At 42.9% G+C, this 13,020-nt stretch overlaps 1 protein-coding gene across 14 annotated transcripts in view; it reads right to left on the bottom strand.

Annotated features, from left to right (window-relative positions):
- CACNB2 (calcium voltage-gated channel auxiliary subunit beta 2) overlaps nt 1-13,020 on the bottom strand; it is a 403,134-nt gene that overhangs the window by 45,583 nt on the left and 344,531 nt on the right. The window lies entirely within an intron of this gene.

The following is a 13,020-nucleotide window of genomic DNA, read 5'->3' as shown; positions in this document are numbered from 1 at the left end:
TGCTACCCCAAACATCTACTTTAATTAATTAATCATTAAAGACATAATTCCGAAAGGTACAATCATTGAATGAGAAAAGAGCCGGGGAAAATATGCTACAACTATAGCAACTCTCATTCATGGCTGCAACGAATTATGAAAGCAATGACTTTTTCTTCTATTATTTCTCCTACTTGAGTTTGTTCAGCTACTAAAGATATTAATTAAGATCTCTTTCCTTATTTGATGCTTTGAAATTTTACAGATAAAGGGCCAGGAGTGGTGGCTCATGCCTGTAATCCCAGCATTTTGTGAGGCCAAGGCAAGAGGATTGCTTGACCCTAGGAGTTCAAGATCAGCCTGGGCAACATAGCAAGACCTCTTCTCACTAAAAATCAAAAACAAAAATTAGGCTAGGTGTGGTGGCAGGCACCTATACTCCCAACAACTTGGGAGGCTAAGGCAAGAGGATCACTTAAGCCCAGGGGGTCTATGCTGCAGTGAGCCATGATCACGCGACTGCACTCCAGCCCGGGGGACAAAGTCAGTCCCTGTCTCAAAAAAAAGAAAAAAACAAATCAAACCAAAAGAATTTACAGATAAGCATTTATTCTCTCTTTAGCTAATACCTATTTATCCACAAGATGAAAGAAACAGGTAAGCTCAGAAATGGTGAAAATGGTATTGTTCTAAGTGGTATTGTATTTCTTTCCCATTATGGGCAAGTGGATTGCTTCTATATATTTCTTTCTTTCTTTTTTTCTTCTTTTCTTTTTTTTTTTTTTTTACAGAGTCTTACTTTGTAGCCCAGGCTGGAGTGCAGTGGTGCAATTTCAGCTCACTGCAACCTCCTCCTCTGGAGTTCAATTGATTCTCCTGCTTCAGCCTCCCGAGTAGCTTGGATTATAGGCGTGAGCCACCACGCCCAGCTAATTTTTTGTATTTTTAGAAGAGACAGGGTTTCACTGTGTTGGCCAAGCTGGTCTCGAACCCCTGACCTTGGGTGATCTGCCCGCCTCAGCCTCCCAAAGTGCTGGGATTACAGGTACGAGACACCATGCCTGGCCTCTTCTATGTATTTCTTATATACATGATATATACAAAGTAACATAGTTTTTCATGTGATATTCCTTTTAACCTACTTTTTTTTTCTTTTTTTCCTTTTTTTTTTTTTTTTTTTTGAGGCGGAGTTTCGCTCTTGTTGCCCAAGCTGGAGAGCAATGGCATGATCTCGGCTCATTGCAACCTCCGCCTCCTGCATTCAAGCGGTTCTCCTGCCTCAGCCTCCCGAGTTGCTGGGATTACAGGCACCCGCCACCACGCCCAGCTAATTTTTTGTATTTTTAGTAGAGATGGCGTTTCACCATATTGGTCAGGCTGGTCTTGAACTCCTGACCTCAGGTGATCTGCCTGCCTTGGCCTCCCAAAGTGCTGGGATTATAGGCATGAGCCACCGCGTCCGGCTTAACCTATTCTTTAAAAAAATTATTTCGACCTCTCAGGAGAAGGGAGCAGTTTCTCCCTATTCAATGCGCTCTCTACCTGGACTTGCCAGAGAAGACACAGGGGAGTTGGAGTAGAGAGAACCCATTTTCATTTCCAAATTTTCCGAAGTTAATTTGTTCTACCTGCCTCTTGTCTGGGTTAAGACTGACTTAAGATCCCTGATGTTACTATGGTCTAGTCACAATTTGCAGATTGGGAAAGGAAAACCAAATTCTGGATATAGGCACAATAGACATGAGGTGGAGTTAAATATTTGGAAGCCAGTTATTGACATTCACTGTAATTTTTTTTTTTTTTTTTTTTTGAGACTGAGTCTCACTGTGATGCCCAGGCTGGAGTGCAGTGGCACGATCCCAGCTCACTGCAACCTCTGCCTTCCAGGTTCAAGCGATTCTTCTACCCTAGCCTCCCAAGTAGCTGGGACTACAGGCACCCGCCATCATGCCTGGCTAATTTTTGTATTTTTAGTAGAGATGGAGTTTCACCATATTGGCCAGGCTGGTCTCGAATGACATCCACTTTAATTTTTAGTGATACCAGGGATCCTGCTTCTTGTGTGGAATTATGGGAATTAAAAATACACGTAAATAAATGTGTACATTTATTTACCTGTACAACTGAAACACAATCCTTGAGAGTATGATGTTTCTATTTTTTCTAGAAATGTTCTTAAGTATATAAAGTTTACTTCCAGAGCTACAATCATAACATATTGCATTTCATCCAATATTAAACATAAAAAAATGAAAAAGCAAAAAATATATATTTTTTTAAAAGGCCAGGTGCCGTGGCTCATGCCTGTAAATCCCAACACTTTGGGAGGGCATGGTGGGAGCATCACTTGAGCCCAGGAGTTTGAGACCAGCCTGGGCAACAAAGTGAGACCTCATCTCTTATACACACACACACACACACACACACACACACACACACACACACACACAGTTTTTATACTTTTAAAAATATATTTTGGCCGGGCGTGATGGCTCATGCCAGTAATCGCAGCACTTTGGGAGGCCAAGGTGGGAGGATCACCTGAGATTGGGAGTTCTAGACCAGCCTGACCAATATGGAGAAACCCCATCTCTACTAAAAATACAAAATTAGCCAGGCATGGTGGCACATGACTGTAATCCCAGCTACTCAGGAGGCTGAGACAGGAGAATCACTTGAACCCGGGAGGCAGAGGCTGCAGTGAGCAAAGATCATTGCACCACTGCACTCCAGCCTGGGTGATAGAGTGAGACTCTATCTAAAAAAAAAAAAAAAGACTCCCTCAACCATTCACCATTCACCCTTCTTTGATACTTAGGTTCACAACATTATTCAGTATGAAAAATATTCTGCTTTGAAAAATGTTTGTACAAAAGCCTCTTTCTACTTAGAATTATTTTCTTAGGATGGAGTCCCAGAGGTAGCATGTGTCAGACATGAGTTATTAAGACTTTTAAATTTTTATTCTAAACTACTGTCCAAATGGGCCACACTGTTTTATACTGTACCCAGCACTAAAGCAAGGTGCACTTTTTAGTGAGATGTAATCTTAAAAATATTTTAAAGTTTTTACATTTTATTTTTTTTAAAAAAACTTTGTAGAGACAGGGTATTGCTGTGTTGCCCAGGCTGGCCTCAAACTCCTGGCCTCAAGTAATCCTCCCCCCTCAGCCTCCTAAGGATGTAGTCTTCATCAAACTCAGTTTTACCACTAGAAATACAATTTCCATTAGTAGATCCATCCATTATTCAGAAAAGTTTCTGATCACAAAAGTATAGATCCAAGATTTAAAAAAAAAAATTGTAGCATGGTCTTTCACATCTTTCAGATGTTTCTTTTCTTTTCTTTTTTTTTTTTTTTTTTGAGACGGAGTCTCACTCTGTCACCCAGGCTGGAGTGCAATGGCACGATCTCGGCTCACTGCAAACTCCGCCTCCTGGGTTCATGCCATTCTCCTGCCTCAGCCTCCCGAGTAGCTGGGACTACAGGTGCCCGCCACCATGCCCGGCTAATTTTTTTTTGTATTTTTAGTAGAGATGGGGTTTCACCGTGTTAGCCAGGATGGTCTCGATCTCCTGACCTTGTGATCCACCCACCTCGGCCTCCCAAAGTGCTGGGATTACAGGCGTGAGCCACCGCACCCAGCCCAGATGTTTCTTTTATTCCTTGGAAGATACAGAGTTTAAGCATCACATATAGTTTTTCATCAATGTAAGACACATTTTTAATGCCTGACTCGACAGAAGACCCCATAGAAAATCTTATGACTTCTACCAACTTTTTATCACTTTTCAATCATCTGAGTAGCAGAAAGAGGGGACTGAAAAAGGAAAAAGAAATTAAAGTGGTGGTGGAAATTGGTGTATAATTCCAGAGACCACAGGTAATAATTTTATGCTCTTAGATTAAGATGTTAAGTTGGAACGTGCCTCCTTTCTTGCCTCACCTCCTGTAACCAATGATGCTACCATTAGATGTGGTTTATATGGGAATTAGCTTTATAGAACTAGGAAACAAGAGCAGCAGATACCTATTCCTCAATATCTTTACTTCAGGAACTATATTTCTAAAATTAGAGTACAGTCAAGGGATGCGGGGGACAGATGTAGCCAAGATAAAAGACCCCAGGATGCTAAACCAAAGAGGCCAGTGACAATGTCACTTCTGATTCCCTGGTCTCACTTCAGCTTGCAGTGTGTCTACAATGTGGAAGGTATTCTCCATATTAATTTCATTCATATGGGTTCAAGAACAAGGGATTTTAAGTGGACCTGGATTTGGATGTTGATTCTGCCATTTATTAGGTGAGTGGCCTGGGCAAATTCTTTAGTCTCATTAAGCATAAGTTCACATGGCTAAAACAAGGGTAAGAGCGCCATTCTTTAAGGTAACGGGATTACAGAAAATGGATTGCACCAGGCCAGGCTAGTATTGGGTGTATAGTCATCCCTTGATAACTGCCGTGATATTGTTTCCAGGACCCTCAAAATCTATAGATGTTCAAGTCCTTGATATAAAACAGTGTACTTGGATGGGTGCAGTGGTTTACGCCTGTAATGCCAGCACTTTGGGAGGCAGAGGTGGGCGGATCACGAGATCAGGAGTTTGAGACCAGCCTGACCAACATGGAGAAACCACGTCTCTACTAAAAATACAAAAATTAGCCAGGCGTGGTGGCCAGACCTGTAATCCCAGCTACTCAGGAGGCTGAGGCAGGAGAATTGCTTGAACCTAGGAGGCGGAGGCTGCAGTGACCCGAGATTGTGCCACTGCACTCTAGCCTGGGCAACAGAGCGAGACTCCATCTCAAACAAAGAGAAAGACAGCGTACTATTTGCGCATAACTGCACACATCCTCTGTATGCTTTATCTCTAGAGCAGTTATAATACCTAATACAAGGTAAACGCTATGCAAATAGTTATTCAATTCTATTGCTTTTTAAGTCTATCATTCTTATTGTTGTAATTTTTTTTTAACATTTTCAATCCACAGTTGGTTGAATCCGTGAACGTGGAACTCATGGATAAAGAGGGCTAACTATATACAGTAAGTGCTTATTAATAGGCATTTGCTATATACCAAAGTAAATGCTACACCTAAGTAAATATTTCTCTGTATTTACCCCCCATTAAAGCCCAAGACAAGTCATTTCCTGGGTGGTCTTCCACTGTAAACGTCCTCAAACCAAACTCATCAACACAGTTTAATATCTGCCACATGCACGACACAAACTAACTCGCTGTTAAAGTCAAGAAGCTTTTCTGTGATATAGATTCTTTCATATTCTCTGGGACTTGAGCAAATGGTAAGGTTTTCCCATACTCATTTTCTTTTTTCTTTTCTTTTCTTTTTTTCTTTTTTTTTTTTTTTTTTGAGACAGAGTCTTGCTCTGTCACTCAGGCTGGAGTGAAGTGGTGCGATCTTGGCGCACTGCAATCTCTGCCTCCCGGGTTCAAGTGATTCTCTTGCCTCAGCCTCCCAAGTAGTTGGGACTACAGGCGCATGCCACCACACCCGGCTAACTTTTGTATTTTTAGTAGAGACGGGGTTTTGCCGTGTTGGCCATACTGGTCTTGAACTGTTGACCTCAGGTGATCCGCTTGCCTCGGCTTCCCGAAGTGCTGGGATTACAGGTGTGAGCCACCACGCCCGGCCAGGTTTTCCCATATTCACTTTGTTTACAGTGTTCTATCTTGATATGGTTTGAGTTTGTGTCCCTGGCCAGACTCATGTCGAATTGTAAGCCCCAGTGTGGGAGGTGGGGCCTGGTAGGAGGTGATTGGATCATAGGGGTAGATTTTCCCCTTTGGTGCTGTTCTCATGATAAGACTTCTCATAAGATCTGGTTGTCTAAACATGTGTGGCACCTCCCACCTCTCTCTTGCACCAGTGCCAGCCATGTATGATATGCCTGCTTTCCCTTCACCTTCCTAGACGACTGTAAGTCTCCTGAGGCCTCCCCTAGAAGCCAGATGCCAACACCATGATTCCTGTACAGCTTGCAGAACTGTGAGCCAATTAAATCTCTTTTCTTGATAAACTACTCAGTCTCAGGTATTTCTTTATAACAGTGTAACAATGCAAGAATGTACTGATACATATCTCTTTCATTCTGATTTTCTTTGATAGTCCTCAAACGCTCAGGCTTTTTTTTTTTTTTTTTTTTTTTTTTTTAACCAACTTGAAGTTCCAAGGGAATATCCCTTACGGAATCATTGAATTTTTATCCATGAAACCATTTGTTAATCAAATATATCCTGTTTTAAGTTGACATCTTCATTTTTGGCTTAATCTCAGAATGGTAAAGAGCCACATGGAACTCTTTCCTCTTACCATTCAGGGCTCTTGCCCTTGTTCGAACTACAAAAGTTACTTTTGGTCTGGAAGCCTACCAGATTGTTTTTCCCCCAGACAGGGTCTTTCTGTTGCCCAGGCTGGAACGAAGTGGTGCAATCATGGCTCACTGTAGCCTCAACCTCCTAGGCTCAAATAATCCTCCAGTCTCAGCCTCATGAGTAGCTAGGACTACAGCCTCATGCCACAATGCCCAGCTAATTTTTATTTTTACTTTTTGAAGAGATGAGGTCTCGCTTTGATGCCCAGGCTGGTCTTGAACTCCTGGCCTCAAGTGATCCTCCCGCCTTGGCCTCCCAAAGGGCTGAGATTATAGGTGTGAGCCACCACACCCTGCCCTACCAGATTTTTATGGTTTTCCAGCATCATGGCCCTGGGGCATGGTTCAGCTCATTCCTAGTTCACTCCTGCATGGTCCATCATAAATACTGATGAATAGAACTGATTCTTGGATATGAATGTTTGAGGCCAGTGGGCCATTTACTCTTTCTTCTTATTGTGCTTTCTCCTTAAGGTAAAGAAGAGTCCCAAGAAGCAAGAACAAAAAGAAGCCAAAAAATCTTGGTGTTCCAGAGGTTTCACGGGAACACCAGGAACAGTGGGCACTGTGATAAGAAACTGACACAGTGCTCTGGGACATGCTGGGACACAAGAGGTGCTCTGGCTCTTGAGGAAAGCGAAGCTATTCCAGATCCCAAGGCCAAATGTAACTGAGGTGCACTCTAGTTAATAGGTTGTCCTTCAAGCTGTCCTTTTCCTGCCACCCTTTAACTCCACCCTCCCCCCTCCCCCACCGGCCCGGGTTTATCAGAAAGGCTTGGTCATAGCTGTAGAGTAAGATGGGGAAGAAAAGCAGAAAGCACAGATACAGAAATAGCCCACAGCCCTAGGTAGGATCCTGTAGAAGGAGCTTCAGGGATGGCTGTTGCGGAATTCTATTGAAATCCACATTTAGATTTAGATTCATCCTGCTCTACAGAATCATTAGGATACTACGTTGGTTGGGAGACAATATGGTCCTTCATTTCACTTTCACTCAACCTCTATTAACATCCTAAAGACTTTATTGCCAGGCCAGTGTGAGACCTGGAGTCTGCTTTTGCAGATTCTACCTGGATTCCTGGCCAACTTGTTTTGTGGCTATGGAGGGTCAGGCCCAAGAGGTGATGTCAGACTTTTCTACCAGTTTTTGCTTCTCCCTGTTCCAAGCCAAGAAAAAAAGGAATTGATTCCTTTTCCAGTTTCTGGTACTTTCGACATGACGTATGAGCACATGCTACATAGCATGAGGGCGACTGGTAAATCATCTATGCATTGTAGCCCCCTTTTTGGGATAAAGAATTAAAAGTTTGTGGCATATTGGTTTGTGGACTAAAGCCGAACAGATCCTCAAAATAAATTCGTAAGTACCAATTTGTAGAAGAGTGGCATCTCTTTATCTAGACAATAATGTAAAAGTGCTTTAAAAACACCAAGTTTGGTGGAGTGCAGTGGCTGACATCTGTAATCAGAGGCAGGTGGATTGCTTGAGCCGAGGAGTTTGAGACCAGCCAGGGCAACATGGTGAAACTCTGTCTCTACCAAAAATACAAACAAAAGCCATCTGTGGTGGTGTGCACCTGTGGTCCCAGCTACTCAAGAGGCTGAGGTGGGAGGATCGCTTGAGCCCAGGAGGTCAAGGGTGCAGTGAGCCATGATCACGCCACTGCACTCCAGCCTGGGCAACAGAGAGAGACCCTGTCTCAAAAAACCGAAACTAAAACACCAAGGCCATGTCTTGTTCAACACTGTGTCTCCAGTATGTTTCCAATCAATATTTGTTGAGAAGGGAATGTGTAAGTGATAAGAGATGTTAAGAAATTCATATTCTCTTCTTCTAGGTCCTTCTTTACCTTGTACATGACAGGACTTACTGTAAAATGATGAAAGCTACCACTTTCGGAATGTCGGCCAAGGGACAAACAATGTGCTGTATATTATACATAGATTGCTACATTTCATTTAACCCCAGCTACAATTGTTTTATTCCAAGGTGAAGAAACTGAGGCTCAAAAAAGTTCTCCCAGCCATTCACTGTGGCACACGCTTGTAGTCTCAGCTATTCAGGAGGCTGAGGCAACAGGATGGCTTGAATTCAGGGGTTTGAATCTAGCCTGGGCAACATTGCAAGATCCTTTCTCTGAAAAAAAAAAAAAGTTAAATTTTAAGACAACATTTGTGAAAGATTTTTTTTTTTTTTTTTTTTTTTTGAGATGGAGTTTCACTCTTGTTGCCCAGGCTAGGGTGCAATGGTTAGGTCTCAACTCACTGCAACCACCGCCTCCCAGGTTCAAGCAATTCTCCTGCCTCAGCCCACTGAGTAGCTGGGATTATAGGCACCCACCACCATGTCCAGTTAATTTTTTGTATTTTTTGTTTCTTGACACAGAGTCTCGCTCTGTCACCCAGGCTGGAGTGCAGTGGCGCGGCTCACTAATTTTTTGTATTTTTAGTATAGGTGGGGTTTCACCGTGTTAGCCAGGATGGTCTTGATCTCCTGATATCATGATCCGCCCACCTCGGCCTCCCAAAGTGCTGGGATTATAAGTGTGAGCCACCGTGCCCGGCCAATATTTTGTATTTTTAGTAGAGATGGGGTATCACCATGTTAGCCAGGCTGGTCTCAAACTCTTGACCTCAGGTGATCTACCCGCCTTGGCCTCCCAAAATGCTGGGATTACAGGCATGAGCCACCGTACCCGGCTGAAGATTTTTTTTTTTTATATGTTCTCCCAGGCCATAAGCGTTAGAGCTGGTGCTAAAATCTCTCTCTCTCCAAAGCCTGTGTTTCTCCTACAGTACTAGAGTGCTTTTCATTTAAAGGGGTGTGTAGATGGCAGTTCCACAACATTTACATGTTTATGTGAAATTTTGAAGACTTGAAAGTTATAATTTACAAAATGCTAAAAATTGGTTGGTATAAAGAAAGGCAAAAAAAGATTGGGCCCAGGTCTGCCTTGCGTGTGACACTAAATGAACACCTTCACATGTTAGAACGATGGGTGTCCCTCATAAAGGTAACCTATTCCTTTTAAGTACAAAGATGCACTTAAAAAACTCGAGGTTCAGGAAATCAACAGCGATGTCAAATCCTGATTTTCTTTTTTTTTTTTTTTTTTTTTTTTTGAGATGGAGTCTCGCTCTGTCGCCCAGGCCGGAGTGCAGTGGTGTGATTTTGGCTCACTGCAAGCTCCGCCTTCCAGGTTCACGTCATTCTCCTGCCTCAGCCTCCCGAGTAGCTGGGACTACAGGCACCTGCCACCACGCCTGGCTAATTTTCTGTATTTTTAGTAGAGACGGGGTTTCACCTTGTTAGCCAGGATGGTCTCGATCTCCTGACCTCGTGATCCGCCCACCTCGGCCTCCCAAAATGCTGGGATTACAGGCGTCAGCCACAGTTCCCGGCACAAATCATTATTTTTATTTATTTAGATCTTCCGTTTCTCTCTTCACATCTCTTTTTCACCATCTAGAAAGCTGTATTTCATGAATGGCTGGGTGTGGTGGCTCACGCATGTAATCCCAGCACTTTGGGAGGCCGAGGCAAGCGGACCACCTGAGGTCAGGAGTTCGAGACCAGCCAGTGCAACATGGTGAAACCCTGTCTCTACTAAAAGTACAATTTGCATGACTTTTTATTCCCTCTGTAAAACTAGGGTCGCTGCAGCAGCCTTTCAGTGTTTCCTGTGCAGGGTCCTTGGTGTGGAATTTTATAAACTATGAGACCATGTATGTCTTCCTATCTCATTTTTTTTTTTTTTTGAGATGGAGTCTTGCTCTGTTGCCCAGGCTGGAGTGCAATTTGTGGCAGGATCTTGGCTCACTGCAACCTCTGCCTCGTAGGATCAAGTGATTCCCCTGCCTCAGCCTCCCAAGTAGCTGGGACTATAGGCGCCCGCCAACATGCCTAGCAAATTTTTGTATTTTTAGCAGAGACAGGGTTTCACTATGTTGGCGAGGCTGGTCTCTAACTCCTGACCTCAGATGATCCACCCACCTCGGTCTCCCAAAGTGCTGGGATAACAGGCGTGAGCCACCGCGCCCCTCCACAAATCACTCATCTTGAGAAGGCTGCTGAAGAGACCAACCACCTGGTTTCACCACCTCCCTTCCCACCCTGACTCCAGCACTATTACTGATATATGAGCTAGAAATAAATTATTTCAGCAAACAGTGAGGGTAAGAGAGTCCTCGGTAAGGCTTCCTTCTAATGAAACACAGCCCCCATATTGTTTCTTTTCTAACAAAAAGCAGCCTGAAAAATCAAGCTGAAAGCATAGATAAACAAGCTAAAAGTCTGCACAGGTAAATGCCGCAGCTGTGCCAATAGATGAAGGCTACCTGGGGGCCAGGCATGTGCAACCTGGTGGCTCCATCTTCCCTTTTGTTTGTCAACCACAAGTACAGTGAGGAACAGACAACATGGTGCTGGCCAGGTTGAGACCCCATCTGCATGAAAGATTAGGGTGGGCTGGCCAGCATCTTCATGCACCATGCAAATGTCACACCTGGTCCGAACAATCTCTCGCGCCCTATGTAAAGCAGACAGCGCCTTCTCAAGCTCAACTATGAAACCCCATGCGTTTCACCATGAAACCAGATGACGCACTTGGGAGCCCTTCTCTCTTTGCAAGAGAGAGAGAGAGCTATTCTCTTTTTCTTTCACCTATTAAACCTCCGCTCTTAAACTCATTTCTTCCACGTCCACGTCCTCGATTTCCCTGCCGTGAGACAATGAACCTCACATATTTACCCCACACAATAATGCTTCATTACTATCTGGCCTACAGACCCAAAAGGATGGTCCAGAAACATCTGTTCAAGCTCCCCAAATTTCCCACCTTCTCCATGCTTCTGCCCTGACTCATGCCCTCTATCCCCTGGCCTTGAAGTCCCTCATCTCACTGCCGTATGCTCTTTTCTGCCTAGAGACAGATGCCTGGACCCTGTCATTAACAGATGGGTATACGCAAGAACTAATCTGGCAGGGCTGGAAGGATATTAGTGGACAGCTTTTTGGCCGCAAGACTTGCTTTTTCTCACATCCAAAGGAAACTCTATTTGCTCCACAGAGGCCTGCTGTGTGGAGGCCCACAGGCTCTTGTCAGAGAGGTGGTTAATGTTTAGAAAAGGAAGAACTTTTATTTTCTTACAGCCTTCTGGAATCACTAGGCCTAAGGCTGCTAAGCACCAATTATTATAGGAGGAGATAATTAACTTAAAAATATCTTTGGTTATGAAATAGAATAAACACATTATAATTTCATGGCACTATAGTTCTAGCTTTCTCCCTAAACAATGACTAATGAGTTAATAGTGAAGCTAATAATTTGAACGCTATAACACAATGCATACCTAAGTTTAATAAAAATGTGCCAGTGATAGAATGAATACCTATGATTAAAAAGTGAAATGAAATTCACTCAAGGATAGAAATAAATTTCTGATCATGATTAATATAGTTACTTAGATTTTTATGCATTGATTTCTTCATTTCCTAATACAAAGGTGAATTTTACTATGCTAAATAGCAAAGTATGGTTTTCAATTTTCATCCTGAAACTGTCAATTGCTAATAACATAAAAGGAAAATTCATAGTTTGTTTTAATGTCTATAATGGATTTGTCTTAAATATTAACTACTCTCAATTTGCTCTTTTTAGAGAAATGAAAAAAAAAAAAAAAATGACCCAGATCCCTATTGTAAGAGACTATGGAGGCTGGGCACGGTGGCTCACATCAGTAATCCCAGCACTTTGGGAGGCCGAGGTGGGCAGATCACTTGAGGTCAGGAGTTCGAGAGCAGCCTGGCCAACATGGTGAAAACCTACTTTAGTAGACCTAGGAACCAGGTCTACTAAAAATTCAAAAATTAGCCAAGCATGGTGGTGGGTGCCTGTAATCCCAGCTACTTGGGAGGCTCAGGTGGGAGAATCACTTAAGCCCGGGAGGTGGAGGTTGCAGTGAGCCAAGATTGTTCCACTGCACTCCAGCCTGGGCGACACAATGAGGCTCCATCTCAGAAAAAAAAAAAAAAAAAAAGAGAGAGAGAGGGACTATAGAAAAGACAGGTCAAGAAGATCTAATCCGTTTTTTTTATCCACTTATTTGTTGTGTACACTAACTTCTTATAAAACTTGTTCTACTCTTTTATTATATTAAATGCCTCAGGTGGGAGTGTAGCTATCAAGTCTTATATAGGAAGCACCCAGGAACTGAAGAGGTACTGACTATACTTACAGGAACCAGGTCATAGCCATCTGCTTTATTTAGCACTTACTGATATCTTACTTTCTAGTTATCCTTGTCTGATTATAACTTCTCTCTATCATCTTGCTAACTTTCAATGATAATAAATAATCCTTCCATTAAGGAAGGAAACTTTTCAACTTTATTTTATTCTTTATATATGGGCAAAAGTTCCTACAATATGTTTTGAAACAAATATATACTTTTTTTAAGACAGGGTCTCACTCTGTCACACAGGGCTGAGTGCAATGGTGTGATCTCGCCCCACTGCAACCTCTGCATTCCATGCTCAAATGATCCTCCCAAGTAGCTGGGATTACAGGTATGCGCTATGACATCTGGCTACTTTTTGTATTTTTTGTAGAGACAGGGTTTCACTATGTTGTCCAGGCTGGTC

Source organism: Homo sapiens, chromosome 10, assembly GCF_000001405.40.
Source record: "Homo sapiens chromosome 10, GRCh38.p14 Primary Assembly".
Taxonomy (NCBI): domain Eukaryota; kingdom Metazoa; phylum Chordata; class Mammalia; order Primates; family Hominidae; genus Homo; species Homo sapiens.
Note: the sequence above shows the minus strand (reverse complement) of the source record. Positions and strands in the feature narration are given on the sequence as shown.